Consider the following 19,248-nt stretch of genomic DNA (forward strand, 5'->3'; position numbering starts at 1 on the left):
TAGAAAGAGCAGCTATTTGTATCCCCAGTTTACAGATGGGGAAACCAAGGCCCAGAGATAATACATGACTTGCCTGTGATCCCACAGCTGTAAGTCAGAGTTAAGACTGGAGCCCAGGCCATCTCCCTCCACCACCCACACCTGACATCCGCACACTGCGCTTCCTGCATGGTGGACAGTGCCTGCCTGCTCACAACTGGGACCACTGCCTCCTCTGCTTCTCTGTAGCCCTGGCCCTAGCTCGTGGAAGGAGCAACAGGGCCATATTTGAGTTTCAGAGCACTGCTCAGGGGGGCAGAAGGCAGGGTCAGATTCTTCTGGAAGAGGTCGGAGGTTTCCCAGCCAGAACAAAACTGGGATGAGAAGCTGGGGTTCCTCCCACCCCTCTCCAGGACCTGTGAATGTCCCTCCCCTGTGGAGCTGGAAAGCCAGCCCGAAGGCACCTGCCCCGTGGGAGGACACACCCCTGAGCCTGGATGCCTCATCTCCTGCAGCTTTGGAATTCTAGCCCCTACCCCCACCATGCCCACCCCCCCTTGCCTTCCTCTCATGGGCCCCCATCTTTCCCCAGCCCATCCAGCTCCTGACAGCCAGCCCTAAAACCTCCTTAACTGAGAGTCTATGCCTGCTGGGGTGTTTGGTTAGAAGGCATTTAAGCAAATCAGAGGGGATCCTCAAGGGAGCCTCAGCCCCTCCCCAGGGCCCCTCCTAGGCCTACTCAGCAAAAGGGCATTAAAACCACGCTTTAAAAACTTAGCTGGTGCAGTGGCACACACCTGTGGTCCCAGCTACTCAGGAGGCTGAGGCAGGATGATGGCTTGAGCCCAGGAGGTCAAGGCTACAGTGAGCTAGGATTGCACCATTGCACTCCAGCCTGGGCAACAGAGCAACACCCTGTCTCTAAAAAGAAAAAGAAAAAATTTAATCGTAAAACTAAAACAACTCTGATGTCCACTGACAGATACATGGATAAACAAAATGTGATGAGCCTGTGTGTGTGTGCGTGTGTGTGTGTCTACACACACATATATACAGTAGAATATGATTCAGCCTTAATAAGGAAGGAAATTTTGACCTATGCTGCAACATGGATGAATACCACAGACACTAGTCTAGATGAAACTAGCCAGTCACAGAAGGACACATACTGTCCTTCCAGCACATGAGGTCCCTAGAGCAGTCACAATCCTAGAGACAGAGTAGAATGGGAGTCGCCAGGGGCTGGGGGTGGGGTATGGGGAGTTAGTGTTTGATGGGGACAGAGGTTCAGTTTGGGAAGATGAAAGAATTCTGGCTGAGTGCAGTGGCTCAGACCTGTAATCCCAACACTTTGGGAGGCTGAGGCGGGTGGATCACTTTTTGGTCAGGAGTTCGAGACCAGTCTGGCCAACTTGGCAAAAACCCATCTCTACTAAAAATACAAAAAATTAGCCAGGCGTGGTGGCAGGTGCCTGTAATCCTAGCTACTTGGAAGGCTGAGGCAGGAGAATTGCTTGAACCCAAGAGGCAGAGGTTGCAGTGAGCCAAGATTGCGCCACTGCACTCCAGCCTGCGTGACAGAACAAGACTCTGTCTCAAAGAAAAAAAGTTCTGTGGATGGATGGTGGTGATGGTAGTACAACAATGGGAATATACTTAATGCTACTGAACTGTACATGTAAAACTGGTTAAGAACGCCAATTTTATGTTATGTATTTTTTTACCACAATAAAAAATGCAAAAGCAAAACGCAGCACTGACTCCGGGCAAGGGTGGGAGGGAAGGAACTGGGCTTATCAGAGCATTAGGGATAGTTGGGTCTGGGTGGGTGGTCCTAGGCCCCAACTAGTGAGGGGATCCCACTTCCCTGCTGAATGAAAAGGGTGAAGACTTGAGAGCGCTGTGAGCTGCAAGGAGACTGAGTTCTAGAAGGGAGAGGAGTCCGTGCACACAGACCCCAGTGGGACCTGGGCCTGTCACTTCCCCTCTGAGCCTGGTCAAACAGGGGAGCCAACATTTACTAGGCAGCCTCCAAGGGCCAGACAGAGCACTCTGTGCTGTGATGCTCGGCGAATCTCATCCCCACAGGAACCTGAGAGGTGGGACCTGTTACAATCCCCACTTCACAGAAGAGGAAGCCAAGGATCTGAGAGGTGAAATGACCTGCTCAGTTTACACAGCAGAAATGTGAGAACGCTGAGAGTTGATCTGGAATCCATACTGTTCACTGTTCTGCTCTGCCTTGCAGGCTGGAAGCTTCCAGCAGTGGAAGGGGCTGAAGACTGGTTCCAGGGCACAAACTGGCATGTAGCCTTCATGTCCCCTCAGAGATCTGGCCCACAGAGACACATGACTAGCTGAGCATCACTTGCTGCCACAGGGGAGTGGGCAGGGGACCTAGCCCATGCAGCAACCTTGTGGTGGAACTGCCCTGGGAGTGGCCCACGCTACCTGGGTGGCCCCAACTTTTCCTTCTGTGCTTCTTGGCCTGCCTCCCTGGCCACAGTTGATTGACCTATGGCCAACTGACCCATGTTGGACCAATCAGAGTCCTTCCAAGGGTTTTTGCACTGTAGCTGGGGGAGCCATTCAACCATCTTTAATAGTGGGAGTCAGGAACAATGGGAGACAGTAGAACCTGCATGAGGAGGCACTGAAGCTGGTGTTCAGGAGAGGCAAACACAAAAAGAGCTAGTATTATTGGGGTTTGATTGTAGATAAATTGAAACCCCAAATTACATGGCTTGAACAAGATGGAATTAATTCTTCTCTGAGTAGATGGTCCCAGGCTGGTATGACATCAGAACTGTGTTAGTCCATTTTGCATTGCTACAAAGGAATGCCTGAGATTGGGTAATTTATAAAGAAAAGAGGTTTATTTGGCTCACAGTTCTGCAGGCTATACAAGCATGGCACCAGCATCTGCTCAGTTTCTGGTAAGGCCTCAGGGAACTTAGAATCCTGGCAGAGGTGACATGGAGCAGTGTTGTCACATGGCAAGAGAGGGAACAAAAGAGATGCCAAGATCTTTTAAACAACCAGCTCTCACATGAACTAGCAGAGTGAGAACTCACCACCAAGGAGATGGCACTAAGCCATTCATGGGGGATCCGCCCCCATTACCCAACACCTCTCTCTAAGCCCCACCTCCAACATTAAGGATCATATTTCAACATGAGATTTGGAGGGACACACATCCAAACCATATTATTTTGGCTGTGGCCCCCCCAAATCTCAAGTCCTTCTCACACTGCAAAATACAATCATCCATTCTCAATAATTCCCAAAAGTCTTAACTCATTCCAGCATCAACTCAAAAGTCCATAGTCTCATTTGAGATTCAAGGCAAGTTCCTTATACCTATGAACCTATAAAATCAAAACCAAGTTATTTACTTCCAAGATACAATGGTGGTACAGGCATTGGGTAAATATTTCCATTCCAAAAGGGAGAAATCAGCCAAAAGAAAGCAGCAACAGGTCCCATGCAAACCTGAAACCCAGAAAAGGAGACATTCAACCTTAAAGCTCCAAAATAATCCTGACTCCATATCCTGCATCCTGGGCACAGTGGTGCAAGGGATAGGCTCTCAAGGCCTTGGACTGCTCCATCCCTGTGGCTTTGTACAATACAGCTCCCATGGCTTCTCTCTTGAGTTGGAGTTGAGTATCTGTGGCTTTTCCATGCTCAGGGTGCAAGCTGCCAGTGGTTCTAGCATTTTCAGGTCTGGAGGGTGGTAGCCTCCTTCCCACAGCTCCACTAGATAGTCCCCAGTGGGGACTCTGCGCAGGGGCTCCAACCCCACATTACCCCCTTGGTACTTGCCATGTAGGGGCTCTCTGCAGGGGCTCCCATATAGGGGCACTCCCATACAGGGGCTCCCTGCAGTAGGCTTCTGTTTGGGCACCCAGGCTTTCTGATACATCCTCTGAAATCTAGGTGGAAGCTGCCAAGCCTTCTTCACTGTTGCATTCTGAAAGCCTGCAGACTTAACACACCATGTGGAAGTCACCAAGGCTATGGCTTGCACCCTCTGAAGCAGTGGCCCAAGCTGTACTTGGAGCCCTTTGAACCATGACTCGAGCTGCAGCAGCTAGGATATGGGGTGCAGTGAACCCAGCCTGTGTGAAGCAGTAGGGCCCTGGGTCTGGCACTTGAAACTACTCTTTCCTCCTAGGCCTCTGGGCCTGTAATGGGCGAGGCTGCCTCAAAAATCTCCAAAATGCCTTAAAGGCCTTTTTCCCATTGTCTTGAATATTAGCACTTGGCTCCCTTTTAGTCATGCAAATCTCTCTAGCAAGTGGTTGCTCTTCAGCCCACTTCAATTCCTCTCCTTAAAAATGTGCTTTCCTTCTCTACTATACGGCCAGGCTACAAATCTTTCAATTTTTTATACTTTGCTTCCCCTGTAATGGTAAGTTCCTATCTTGAGTCATTCCTTTGCTCCCACATCTGATCATATAGTTAGAAGTAGCCACACCACATCTTGAATGCCTTGATGTTTAGAAATTTATTCTGCCAGATACCCTAGGTCATCACTCTTAAGTTCAACCTTCCACAAACCCCTAGGACATGGACACAATGCAGCCAAGTTCTTCGCTAGGGAGTAACAAGAGTGACCTTTGCTCCAGTTCCCAATAACTTTCTCATTTCCGTCTGAGACCTCGTCAGCCTGGTCTTCACTGTTCATATTTCTATCAGCATTTTGGTCACAGCTATTTAACCAGTCCCTAAGAAATTCCAATGTTTCAACTTCCTGTTTTCATCTGAGCCCTCCAAACTCTTCCAACGTCTGCCGGTTCCAAAGCTGCTTCCACATTTTCAAGTATTTTTATACCAATGCTTCACTCCTTGGTACCAATTTTCTGTGTTAGTCTGTTTTGAGTTGCTATAAAGAAATATCTGAGACTGGGTAATGTATAAAGAAAATAGATTTATTTGGCTCACAATTCTACAGGCTGTAAAAGCCTGGCACCAGCATCTGCTTGGCTTCTGATAAGGCCTCAGGAAGCTTATAATCATGGCAGAGGTGAAGGGGAAACAGGTGTGTCACACAGTAAGAGAAGGAGCAAGAGAGATGCCAGGTTCTTTTAAACAATCAGCTCTCATGTGAACTAATAGAGTGAGAACACACTTATCACCAAAGAGATGGTGCTAAGCCATTCATGAGAGATCTGCCCCCATGATCCAAGACCTCCCAACAGGCCCCACTTCCAACATTGAGAATCACATTTCAACATGAGATTTGGAGGGGACACACATCCAAACAATATCAAGGACCCAGCCTCTTTCTCTCTAATATTGTATTCTTTGGATGTTGCATTCACCTCATGGTGCAAGCTTCACTCACATTCTGGCCACCTGGAAGGAAGAAAGAGAAGGAAGAGCACATCTTTCTCCTTTGAGAGCACTTCCCAGCAGCTGCACACACCACATCAGCATCCATCTCATTGATCAGAACCTGCTTGTATGGCCACACTTAACTGCAAAGGAAGCCAGGAAACATCTTTTTATTCTGAGAGACCTGTGCCCAGTCAACTCTCAGGATTTCTGTTATTAAGCAGGAATGTGAGAACAGATACTGGGGACAAGTAACAATGTCTACCACAAAAACAGCACTTAAGACAGTGCATCATCCTCCTCTATGCCTATCTCCCCACCTAGACTATAAGCAACTTGAAGGCAGGGGCCAAGTCTTTTCATTGAGTGTCCACAGCACCCAACACAAATCTTGGAATACAAGAGCCACCCAGTAATATTTATGGAATAGAATAACAATTTACAGTGTGTTACTGGTGATGGTGGCAGCCCATCTGGGACACCTGCTGCCATGATGCCAGCTGCAGTGGAGAAGGTGTGACTGGACTGCATGCTCCATGGAGTCAGCAGGAGCCAGGAACAGATGGAAGCCCTGCCTGCTTCCAAGTTGGAGAGGCAGGAGCCCCACCCTCCTGGGTGCAGCTGCAGCCATCCAGGCACAGCTGTGGACCTAGGCATCTCTGCACTCTTGGGATCCCAGAAAGTAGTCTCCCTTCCCCTGCAGCTTCAAAAGTACCCGTTCCTGCTGCTTGGCCTCTGCCTCTCCTGGCACCCACTCCAATTTCAAAGCAAAGTTGTGGCTGACCCCAGCACTGTCATGACCTAGCCAGGTGTGCATATACTCAAGACAGTGCTGACACACCAGCCCCCTCCCACCTCGGCCACCTTCAGACTTTGGGCACTGATAAGCATGGCAGGGAGGCTGAGGCAGGGCTAAGGGTGGCTCAGCACAGGCCTGCAGTCACCCCTCAGCACAAACAGCCTGGGCATCATGGGCACTGTGGATGGCAGGTTAATGGTGGCAGGAGGCAGATAGGCTCCTGAGCAGAAAGGGACTGGTTCCCAGTGAAGCCCCACCTTCAAGTCAGGGACTGCCTGAAGTGTGGGGCCAGGCTGTCAGCTCCGTGGACCAAGGTGAGAACTTACAGTGTTTTCTCTGCCCCCCCGCCCCCACCGACCATGGCTGCCCACGGACCAGTCAGCATGCACTTCCTCCCCTCTAAAGTCCGTAAAAACCCTGGACTCAGCCAGACTTGGGTAGATGACAGGACAACCTGCCTGCAAAGAGCATCTACCAACTGCTGGTCTCCTCTGAGCTGTTCTGCCACTCAATAAAGCTCCTCTTCACCATGCTCACCCTCCACTTGTCTGAGTACCTCATTGTTCCTGGATGCAGGACAAGGACTTGGGACCCACCAAATGGTGGGGCAGAAAGAACTGTAATACAAACAGGGCTGAAATATGCCCATTGCTCACCAGGTTTCAGGCAATGAGAAGGAGAAAAGAGAGAAGGCAAAAAGAGCTGTAGCCCTTTGGGGACCCCAGACCTAGGAGCTCCCCAAGCCAGGGCTATGACACCCTCTTTGGGGCTCTGTGTTTCCTGGTATCTCCAAGCTTTCAGGCACCACTGCCTTCCCTGATGCCAGCCATAGAAGCTTCTTTTCTATGGACCAGAAGCCTGGTCCAGCTGCAGCCTCACAGGCAAGCAGTACCTGTACCAGCATCTGGAGCTGCCCGCCCCACCACAGCCAGCATGCCTGGCTGTGCACAGTGGCCGGGCCCCATGCTTGCTCGCTCACACATCCCTCACCACTCCATGCCTGGCTCACCTTTGGCAGGCATGGGATCCAGGCTGGTAGCACAAGCCAAGTACAGCCTATCAGGCTGAGTGGGCAGAATGAGCCCAGTGAGCCTGAGCAAAACTTGGGCAAAGGCACCACCAGCCACAGAGGTTTCTGGCCAGAAAATGACACCCCAAGGATCCTGTGATGTTGCAGTTACTGTTGCTGCGTAACAAATCACAACAAAACTTATGGCTTCAAACAACATTCATTTTGATATGCATGTAGAGTCTGAGGGCCAACAATTCTAGGAAGGGCTCTACTAGGTGGTTCACATGGCGTCTTCCATGTAGTTGCAGACAGAGCTGCAACCACAGGCATCTGAAGTCCAGCTTGACATCCAAATGGACATCCAAGTTGTTTCACCCTCAGCTTGCAGTTGGTGTTGGCTGTATGCTGAGGGCTCAGCTGGGCTGTTGACTGGAGCATGTGCACTTGACCTGTCTTTATGGAGCTTGGATGTCTTCCACAGTGGCTCAGCGACCTCAGCACAAGTGTTATCTGAACAAGGCAGCAGCTGCCTGGTCACTCACAACCAAACCCCAGAAGTCACAGCATATCACTTTTGCCAAAGTTTATGGGTTGAAGAAGTCACAGATGAACCTAGCTTCAAGAAGAGGGAAGTTGGGCCCCACCTCTTGATGGAGGAGTGTCAGGGTCACATTGCAGAGGAGCATGCAGGAAGGGAGACATTGCTGAGGCCAGCTTTGGAAGGTTCAGGCTGCACACAGTGCAAAACCCAGCTCTGAACTATTCAGAAACGAGGAAGACAAACTCAAAAATTCACTTATGACTTCTGTCTTTGCCTCTTGTCCTCATCAATCAACTTTTTTCATTAAGATATTGTGCCTGAGCCACTGACAGTAATAATTTGGTGTTTCATCACATCTCACAAATAGATCTGAATGTGCTCAAGTGCCCTGTGGGGCTGAGAAAGAAGAGGCCCTCCACATCTGATGGAGAGGGTACATCTAGGACAGTGAGTCTCAATCCCAGGTACATGTTAAAACCCCCTGAGGAGCTTTTATAAAAAAAAAAAAAACCCAGGGGTGTGTCTTCTCTAAGACCAATTAAATCTGGGAACCTCTGGGAGTGTGGCTACAGCTTTAGAACTGTTTGAAACTTATATGACTGGGGAGTCCAGTAGATGCCCTAAACCCCAGGGACAAGCAGGGAAGGTATTGGCATTCTCCTGGTGTTCTCCCATCCAGTATCTTGTCCATTACCTCAGGCCATGTGCTTCTGTCCAATCCCTGCTCCTTCTTACCACATGGGAGAACCTACCTTTCTCCCCCAAGACACCACAAAAACAAAGGCATTGGGTAAAATAGATTTTACTAAAGGTTTTGGAGGGTGAGTTAAAAAAGGGAGGCCAGGCGCAGTGGCTCATGCCTGCAATCCCAGCAGTTTGGGAGGCCAAGGCAAGTGGATCACCTGAGATCGGGAGTTTGAGACCAGCCTGACCAACACGGAGAAACCCCATCTCTACTAAAAACACAAAATTAGCCAGGTGTGTTGGCACATGCCTGTAATCCCAGCTACTCAGGAGGCTGAGGCAGGAGAATCACTTGAACCTGGGAGGCAAAGGTTGCAGTAAGCCGAGATTGCGCCATTGCACTCCAGCCTGGGCAACAAGAGCAAAACTCTATCTCAGAAAAAAGGTAGTTATCGCACTAAGCAGAAGACTGCCCAGAATTGAATATTATCACCTTTGTTTCTAACATGAAATGGCCATTCCCAACCATAGGGCATTTCTTAAGGAATGTTGCTCTTCTTTATCTCTTCCTAATTTCTGCTGCATCCTCTTCTTTAGGGCATCCATTCTATCTCTCACATTGCTGGGGTGAAACAAAAAAAAATCCTCCTAATATAAAAAGATATCCTAATATTAAAAGATATTTACTGCCCCCCTTTCTCACCCCAGCCCTTCACTGCAAGATCCTCCCATTCAGGATTACCTAGGATCATCCCTTTCTGAATAAAAGAACTTATTTCTAAAGTAATGTATAATCCTAAATAAAAGCACAGTTTGGTTTACCCTGTCCCCCCACAACCACGGAATGAATACATTTCTGCAGGTTGAAATGACATCATCCCAAACTTTTGCTTCTGATGGTAGTAGGCAAGATGAGCTAACTCCTCTGTTAAGGACAGAAAAACTGAACAACAGGTTTCTGTTAAAATCTTCTTTAAGAGCATAAGAGAGCTAATGAGATAGTGAAGAACCACCAGGTTAGGTTGCAGAAAAAAAATAAAAGGAAAAAAAGATACTCACTTCAGCTGCTTCTCCCTGGTGGCATTTTCAGTTTCATCAGAAGTGTCTGAAAGACAGACTGAGAAGAATTTTGACAGCTTCATGGGATCCAGAATACAATAATGTCAGGGAGACTTAGAAAACATCCCTGTTCCTGAAGCCTAGGGTGGGGATCCTGAGGAAAGCATCTCACAATAAATGTGAACCAAAATTGGAGCAGCTCTCAGAGACTGAAGCACAGCTCTGAGGCATACCAGTCTCTGAGAGTGGAGTAAAATTACTAGTGACACAAAGCACCGGTCAAGATCCAGTGTCAATCTTCTCTAGGAGAAGACAATGTCATCTAGGCCTCAAACTGTTCTACACATAGTTTTTCAAATGCAATGTCCAGGATGTCATCGACATCATCATCTCTGCCATCATCATCAATATCACCATCATCCTTATCATCACAATCAGGCACATAAAAAGACAGGATAATGACAACAGAAACAACTGCCAATAGAAACAGATCTGCAGATACACAGATATCGGGGTGACCACTTATAGACTTTAAAGTAACTATGGTTATTATGCTCAAGAAAACATTGAGAATTTTGGCAGGAAACTGAAAACAATCTCTAAATAAGATAGAGAAGATTTGAAAAAAGAGTAATATAGACATTTTAGAACTAAAATGCAAACAATAATTGAAACTCAGTACTTAATGGGTATGTTTAACAAAAGAGTAGACCTGCTGTTCTCAAACCATGTGCCAAGGTGCCCCAGGTGCTCCTGTGCATCACAGGAGTGCTGCAAAATAGTTTATATATTGAAAGGAAACATATTGCTATCTGTTGGACACAACACAAACTATTAGCTCAAAGTAGTTCATAGTTTCAACATTAGATGGCTACCTTCCTTCTGATAACATCATATATTTGCAAAGCCAAGTTTTCAGAGATCGCTGTAATACAAAGAGATTATTGCATGAAAATCAATGTAAAGCAAGAAATGAGGGTAGCAATATTCAATGATTCCATAATTTGAGAAGCTGTGCAATGCCAAAAAGGTGGCTACTCTGTTATGACACAAATACTTATACTGTTAGGATCTAGCTACTTAAGAAAACTATTAGGTATTCCTTTTTACCTAGGAGCACCATGGTGGGGGAGGGAAGAGGAATGAGATATTAAGAATATTATGAGCCAAGAAAGCCTGGGAACCTCTGGATAGACATAACTGAAGAGATTTACTAAACTGGAAGGATGGGGGAAACACCAGAGTAAAGCAGAGAAGGACAAAAGAATGGAAAACAGAAGAGAGTATAAGAGACAAAGAGAATAGAATGAGAAGATCTAACATATGTGTGCTTGAAGCACCAGGAAAAAAAGGACAAAGAAAATAGAACAGAAGACATAAATGATGAAAATATTCCAGGCCAGGCACAGTAGCTCACACCTGTAATCCCAACACTTTAGGAGGTTAAGGGAAGAGAATTGCTTGAGGCCAGGAGTTTGGGACCAGATATAACCTAGTGAGACCGCATCCCTACAAAATAAATAAATAAATAAATATTCCAAAAGTGATGGAAGCCATTTGTTTACATATTCAAGAAGCACTACAAACCCCAAACATAATGGTCAGAATAAATCTACACTTGGGCACATGAAAGTAATTGCTGAAGACAAAAACTAGAGAAAATCTTCAAAGCAGCTAGAGGAAACAACTTGTTTTACCTTCAAAGGAGCAACAAGTAGACTGACAACTGATTTTTCAGTAGAGAATATAAAAACCAGAAGACAATAGAATGATGTCTTCAAACTACTGAAAGAAAATAACTACCTACCTAGAAGTCTACCTTCAGAGAAAAATCATTCAAGAATGAAGGTGAGATAAAAATATTTTCAGCCAAACAAAAATGGAAAGAAATAATAAAAAATACACCCAAGCTAAAATAAAAATGATAGTGTTCAGACATAGAGTATATTTCAGATGGATAAACAGAAATGCAGAAAAAATATTAAAATAGCAAATACATATATAAAGCTAAATGAATATTAACTGTATAATGTAATAATAATGTCTTTGCGAGAGTTTTAATAGGTAAAGAATTAAAACCTACAAAAAACACCAAACAAGTCAGGAAGAAGCTAAATGAGTTGAAATGCTCTAAGTTCTTGCATTGTCGAGGAAATTGGTGATGTGCCAAGTAAACTTTGATTACTCAAGAATGTATGCTGTAGGAGATCAACTTCCAGCATGATGACATGAGGAGCTCTGCCAGCCCCTCTTAATTAAGGCCTCTGGAAATGGTCCAAAGGACAAAAAGAAAATTAAGAAACATCTATTTAAGAAAAACCCATAGAATTTGGGTAAGAAAGTTTAGAGTCTGTGGTATTTCATGACTCCCTCCATCCCAGCCCCGTGAGGCAGAGAATCCAATCCAGATAGCTGCAACCAAGAAGACAAGGTATCACCCCAGCATACAGTTGGAAGTCCTTCTTCCCAGAAGAAAGAGCACTTCAGTGTTTGTTGTCCTGTCCCCAGCTACCTGTTGCTGAGGCTAAGCTCCAAATGAGTGCAATCAAGCCATGGGAGTTCCCTTCCTCCAACCAGTTGCTAAAAAACAAACAAGCAAATAATGACAACTATAAGCCCCATGGAGGAAGAGAGGAAACCAGTGCTCAGAGTTTCTACAATATATTATCTACAGTATTCTACAATGTATTATAATGAAATATATTACCTAAAATGTCCAGTTTCTAGTGAAATATCAAAAGGCTTGTAAAGAAGTATGACCCATACACTGGTTTAAAAAAAAAAAAAAGGAGCAGGCAACATGAACTGCCTCTAAGAGCCACAAGATATTGGATTTAACTGAAAAAGACTTCAAAGTACAAATTATAAATATGCTCACAGAGCTGAAAGAGAGGATGATTTTAAAAACAAAAGCAAGATATAATGGCAGTGTTGCATCAAACATCTTCTATCAATAAAGAGATTGAAGTTATTTTAAAAGAACCCCAAGAAAAGTCTAGAGTTGAAAAATAGAGTAACTGAAATTAAAAACTCACTATAGGGGCACAACAGTAGATTAGAACTATCAGAAGAAAGAATTAATAAACTTGAAGATAGGTCTATAGAAATTATGCAAATAAAAGAACAGAGAACAAAATGAAGACAAATAAACAGACCCTCAAAGTCACAAACATAATGGGAGTGAAGGACAAGAGAAAGAAGAGAGAAGAAAAAATATTTGAATAAATAATGGCAGAAAACTTCCCAAATTTATTAAAAAGCAATATACATCCAGAAAGCACAAAGAATTACAAGTATGATAAATGCAAAGAGATTCACAGATACATCATAGTAAAAAATGCAGAAAGTCAAAGACAATAAGAAAATATTGAAACCAGCAAGAGAAAAATTACTTACAAAGAAACCTCAGTAAGATTAATAGTTGACTTCTCAGCAGGACAATAGAGGCAAGGATGCAGTACAATAACATATTCAAAGTACTCAAGGGCAAAAAAAGCTGTCCACCAAGAATTCTGTATCCAACAAAACTAAATGTATATTTTGAAACAGTCTGGCTCTGTCACTCAGGCTGGAGTGGAGTGGCATGATCTCAGCTCACTGCAACCTCTGCCTCCTGGGTTCAACAAATTTTCAGTTCTCATTCTCCCAAGTAGCTGAGATTATAGGTGTGCACCAATGTGCCCAGCTGATTTTTGTATTTTTAGTACAGACAGGGTTTTGCCATGTTGGCCAGGCTGCTCTCAAACTCCTGGCCTCAAGCAATCCACCTGCCTCAGCCTCCCAAAGGGCTGGGATTACAGGGGTGAGCAACCACGCCCAGCCCAAACCACATTTTTTTTAATAAAGGGGAAATAAAGATTGACCCAGATAAAAAAAATAAATAAAAGAATTTATTGATAGCAGATCTATCTTCCAAGAAATACTAAATGAAACTCTTCAGACTGAAAGCATGTGACTCCAGATGTTAATATGAATACAAACAAATAAAAATAAGGAGCACCAGAAAAGATAATTATTTAATTATAAAAATCAGTATAAGTCTATTTTTTTCTGCTTTCTTTTCATAAGTGATTTAAGAAGGAATTGTAGCCAGGTGCTGTAGTTCATGCCCGTAACCTCAGCAACTCAGAGGCTAAGGCAGGAGGATCACTTGAGCCGAGGAGTTTGAGGCTGCAGTCAGCCATGATCATGCCACTGTACTCCAGCCTGGGTGACAGAGCAAGACCCTAACTCAAAAAAAAAAAACCAGAAGCAATTGTATAAAATAATGTGTATATAATGTAATTTTGGGCCTGTGACATAGAGAAATGTATTATTATGTGTAATGTATTTGTCAATAATGACACGAAAGAGGTGGGTAGAAGCAGAGCTGTATTGAACTAAGGATGTGATGACAGATGGTAAAGTAATAATCAACAATTTATCATTAAGTTTATAACATTGATAGATGTAACATGCATAACAATAATACCACAAGAAAAGGGAAAAGTGAATAGAGCTATATACTAGTAAGGCTTCTACATATCACCATAAGTTAGTATAAATCTAAAGCTGAATCTGATAAGATGTACAGTGAACCCAAAAGCAATCAATAAAAAAACTCATAAAAATAAATTAGAAAATACACTAAAGAAACTAAAATCCTAACTAGAAAATATTCACTTAGTGTAAAAAAGCAAGAAAGAAGTAATAGAGAAACAAAATGACATGAGACATATAGAAATATAAAGCAAAATGGCAGATGTAAATCCAACAATATCAATAGCAACATTAAATGTGAATGAATTAAAAAATGCAGAGATTGTTGGACTTGGTTAAAAAAACATGATACAACTATATGTTGTGTATAAGAGGGCAAGATTAGATTCAGATTAGATTCAAAGATACAAAAACATTGAAAGTAAAGTATGGAAAAAGAAATATACAAACAGTACAAGAAAGCTGAAGCGGCTGTACTGATATCAGACAAAATAGAGTTTAAAACAAAAAAAGGGCCGGGCGCAGTGGCTCAAGCCTGTAATCCCAGCACTTTGGGAGGCCGAGGTGGATGGATCACGAGGTCAGGAGATTGAGACCATCCTGGCTAACACGGTGAAACCCCATCTCTACTAAAAATACAAAAAAATACCCGGGCGTGGTGGCGGGCGCCTGTAGTCCCAGCTACTGGGGAGACGGAGGCAGGAGAATGGCGTGAACCCGGGAGGCGGAGCTTGCAGTGAGCCGACATGGTGTCACTGCACTCCAGCCTGGGCGACAGAGCGAGACTCTGTCTCAAAAAAAAAAAAAAAAAAAAGAAAAGAAAAAAGTTGTTACTAGAGACAGAGAGACATTTCATGCTGATAAAAGAGTCAATCAATCAGGAAGATATAACAATTATAAACACGTATGCATTTTATAACAGAGCATCAATATACATGAAGTGAAATTGACAGAAACTAAGGGAGAAATATACAATTCAGCAATAACAGTTGAAGACTTTAAAACCTCACTTTCAATAATGGATAGAAAGACTAGACAGAAGATTAATAATGAAATATTAGACTTGAACAGCACTATAAACCAATGAGACCTAACAGACATCTCTATAGAACACTCCACTCAACAACAACAGAATATACATTCTTCTCAGGAGCACATGAAACATTCCCCAGGATAGACCGTATATTAGGCCATAAAACAAACCTTAACAAATTTAAAAGAATAGAACTAGCACAAAGTATGTTCTCTGACCACAATTGGGATAAAATTTGACATCAACAATGGAAAATTTGGGGAAACTCAGAAATATGTGGAAATTAAACACACCCTTATATAACCAATAGGTCAAAAAAGAAATAAAAGGGCAAATTTAAAAATACATTGACAAGAATGAAAATGAAAACACACCATACCAAAACTTATAGGATAAAGCTAAAGCAGTGCTTAGACAGAAATTTATAGCTGCAGTGCCTATATTAAGAAGAAGGAATGATCTCAAATCAATAACCTAATCTTCCACCTTAAGACACTGGAGAAAGAAGAGCAAACTAAACCTAAAGCAATCAAAGAAGGGGAATAATAAAGGCTAGAGCAGAAATTAATGAAACAAAGAATAGAAAAACAATAAAGAAAAGCAGTTAATTCAAGGCCAGTTTGTTGTAAAGATCAACAAAATTGACAAACCTTTAGTTAGATTGTTCAATAAGAAAAGAAAGAAGACTCAAATTACTAGAATCAGAAATTAAAGAGAAGACATTACTACTACCCTTACAGAAATAAAAAGATTATAAGGAAATATTATGAACAATTGTATCCAAAAAACTCAATAAATTAGAAGAAATGTCCTTCCATAGAAGGACAAAAACAAAACTACAGGAACTGACTCAAAAGTAAATAGACAATCTGAATAGACTTTTAACAAGTAAAGAGATCGAATTAGTAATCAAAAACTACCCATAAAGAAAAGCTTAAGTCCAAATGGCTTAATCACTGAATTTTATCAAATACTTAAAGAAGAATTAATACAAATTCTTCACAAACTCTTCCAAATAGTAAAAGAGGAGGAAATACTTTCCAATTCATTTTATGAGGCCAATATTATCTTACTATCCAAACCAGGTGAAGATAGCACAAGAAATGAAAATTACAGACCAATACCTCTTATGCAAAAATCCTCAACAAAATACTAGCAAATCAAATTTAATAACATATAAAACAAATCAAACTCCATGACCAAGTTCGATTTATCCTAAGAATGCAAGCTTGGTTTCAACAACTAAAAATCAATTAAATCACCATACCAATAGAATAACAGCTAAATGAGCTAAAATTATACTCAATGGTAAAAAACTGGATACTTTCCTCCTAAGACCAGAAACAAAACAAGGATGTATGCTCTCACCATTTCTATTCAACATTGTACTGGAGGTTCCGGTTGGGGTAATTAGGCAAGAAAAAAGAACAGGAGGCATTCAGATCACAAAGAAAGAAGTAAAACTCTATCTATTGAAGATGACATGATCTTGTACATAGAAAACCCTAAGGGCCCAGGCATGGTGGCTCACACCTGTAATCCCAGGACTTTGGGAGGCCGAGGCAGGCAGATCACTTGAGGTCAGGATTTTGAGACCATCGTGGCCAACATGACAAAACCGTGTCTTTACTAAAAATACCAAAATTAGCCAGCATTGTGGCACACACCTGTACTCCTAGCTACTGGGGCGGCTGAGGCACAAGAATCACTTGAACCTGGGAGGTAGAGGTTGCAGTGAGTCAAGATTGTGCCACTGCACTCCAGCCTGGGTGACAGAGTGAGACGCTGTCTCAAAAAAAAAAAAAAAAAGAAAATAGAAAATCCTAAGGAATCTATTAAAAAACTATTAGAACTAATAAATGAGTTGAGCGAGGTTGCAGAATACAAAATTAATATACAAAAATCAATTGTATTTTTGCTGGGCGCAGTGGCTTACGTCTGTAATCCCAGCACTTCGGGAGGTGGAGACAGGCAGATCACTTGAGGTCAGGAGTTCAAGACCTGCCTAGCCAAGATGGTGAAACCCAGTCTCTACTAAAAATACACAAATTAGCCAGGTGTGGTGGCACAGGCCTGCAGTCCCAGCTACTTGGGAGGCTGAAGCAGGAGAATTGCTTGAACCCGAGAGGCAGAGGTTGCAGTAAGCCAAGACTGCCCCACTGCACTCCAACTTGGGTGACAGAGTGAGGGTCTGTCAAAAAAAAAAAATCAATTGTATTTTTAAATAAACCTTTAATTTTAGAATAGTTTTAAATTTTAAAAAGAGTTGCAAAGATAGTACAAAGAGTTCTTTATATCCTACACCCAGAGCCCTCTAACCTCTAATATTAACATCTTCTATTACTATAGTACATTTATTTTAATTGCTGAACCAAAATATACAAGTAACAAATCAATAAACATTTGATTGCAAGTAAGAGAAGACTAAATCAAAATAGTAATAGTAGTAATTTCAATAGTGGTAGTAGTGATAACTGAATGGTCAAGGAATAATATACACTTTAGCTGAAACCAGGTCTCAAACACTGTCATCAAGATTACCTTCCTCTCTTATTTTTTCCTTTGCATGATATCAATTATATGTTTACACAATTTCAATGAACAATCCAAAATAAAATTAAGAAAACAATTTCATTTACATTGAAAACAATTTCATTTACAATTCAAAAAGAATAAAATGCTTAGGAATAAATTTAACAAAAGAAGAGCAAAACTTATACTCTAAAAACTGTAAAATATTGCTCAAAGAAATTTTAAAGATCTAAATAAATGGGAAAAATCCCATGTTTGTGGACTGAAAGACTAAACATTGTTAAAATAGCACTACTCACCAATCTGATGTACAGAGTCAGTGCAATTCCTATCAGAATACCAGCTGACTTTTTTGTAGGAATGGACAACCTGATTCTAAAATTCATATGGAATAGCAAGAGACTCAGAATGGCCAAAATGATCTTGAAAAAAAAGAACAAAGTAGGAAGAGTCAAGGTTCTTGATTTCAAAACTTACTACAAAACAAGAAAATAGAAAAATAAAGAAGAGCAGAAATAAAAACAAAGTAGAAAACAAGCATACAATAGAAAGAAGCAACATAACCAAAAGCTTTTTAATAAACCCTTAGCCAGGCGCAGTGGCTCACGCCTGTAATCTCAACACTTTGGGAGGCCAAGGCAGGTGGATCACGAGGTCAGGAGTTTGAGACCAGCATGGCCAACATGGTGAAAGCCCGTCTCTACTAAAAATACAAAAATCAGCCAAGCATGGTGGCAGGTGTCTGTAATCCCAGCTACTCAGGAGGCTGAGGCAGGAGAATTGGCTGAACCTGGGAGGCAGAGGCTGCATTGAGCCAAGATCGCACCATTGCACTCCAGCCTGGGTAACAAAAAAAGAAATCAAAACTAATAAATCCTTGACGAGTTTGGTAAAGTAAAATGAAAAAAGGTACTAATAACCAAATGCCAAGAATAAAGAAAAGAACATTGTTGCAAATCCTGAAGGTAATAAAATGATGAGACTTTGTGAATACATTTTTATGCCAATATATCTGAAAATTTCTATGAAATAAAAAATTATGAAAATATAACTTACCATATCAGAAACAAGAATATAAAATATTAAAGCTATTAGAACTATTAAACTACTAGAAAAACTAAAAATACTATTAAAAATATTTTCACAAAGGAAAATCTAGATCCAAATGTCTTCACCAGCAAATTCTACTAGAAATTTCAAACCAGAGAAGAGAAAAAGGGGAAACATTTTATAAATTGCTTTGTGAGGCAGGAATAAACTTGATACCAAAACCCAATAAAGACATTATGAGAAAGGAAATATCACTCAAGAAAATAAATGGAAAAATTCTGAGCAAAATATTAGCCAACTAAATCCAGAGATATATCACACCAAATAAAATTTATTCCAAAAAGTATAAGTTAAGTGTAAGTTGGTTTAATATCTGGAAATCATCATATTAGTAGAATTAAGTTCTTTAAAAAGCATATAAATGTCTTAAAAGATGAAGGGAAAAAATTGATAAAATTTAATATACATTCACAATATTTTTATATCCTCAGGAAGTAGGAATAGAAGCAAACTTTCTTGATCTGAAAAAGGATATATATGAGAAATACACAACAAGTGGCATACTTAGTGATGAAATGTTAAACTTTTTCCCCTTTGAGATCAGGAATCAGTCAAGGGTGCTCGCCATCCCCACTATTTGCCATTTTATAAGAGTTGCTAGTCAGGCAAGGCAAGAAAAAGAAATAAAAGATATGAAGAGTAGAAAACTACTCCTAAAACTGGAATTATTTGTAGGTTAT

General features: G+C 42.0%; 1 long non-coding RNA gene across 1 annotated transcript in view, besides 1 other annotated feature; it reads right to left on the reverse strand.

Annotated features, from left to right (window-relative positions):
• Nucleotides 3,214-3,899: an enhancer, noted in NCBI's record as "H3K27ac hESC enhancer chr3:127212327-127213012 (GRCh37/hg19 assembly coordinates)". NCBI's record gives its function as "activates a minimal SCP1, AML or CMV promoter by ChIP-STARR-seq in primed H9 embryonic stem cells {active_cell/tissue: H9 hESC(primed)}" and the evidence as "EXISTENCE:reporter gene assay evidence [ECO:0000049][PMID:30033119]".
• Nucleotides 7,331-19,248, reverse strand: part of LINC01471 (long intergenic non-protein coding RNA 1471) — a 40,180-nt gene continuing 28,262 nt past the window's right edge. Inside the window, exons 6-7 of the long non-coding RNA NR_125397.1 lie at nt 9,415-9,472; nt 7,331-7,640 (exon numbers count right to left, since the gene is read on the reverse strand). This is a non-coding gene — a long non-coding RNA (long intergenic non-protein coding RNA 1471). The remainder of the gene's footprint in view (nt 7,641-9,414; nt 9,473-19,248) is intronic.

Source organism: Homo sapiens, chromosome 3 (assembly GCF_000001405.40).
Source record: "Homo sapiens chromosome 3, GRCh38.p14 Primary Assembly".
In the NCBI taxonomy this organism is placed as follows: domain Eukaryota; kingdom Metazoa; phylum Chordata; class Mammalia; order Primates; family Hominidae; genus Homo; species Homo sapiens.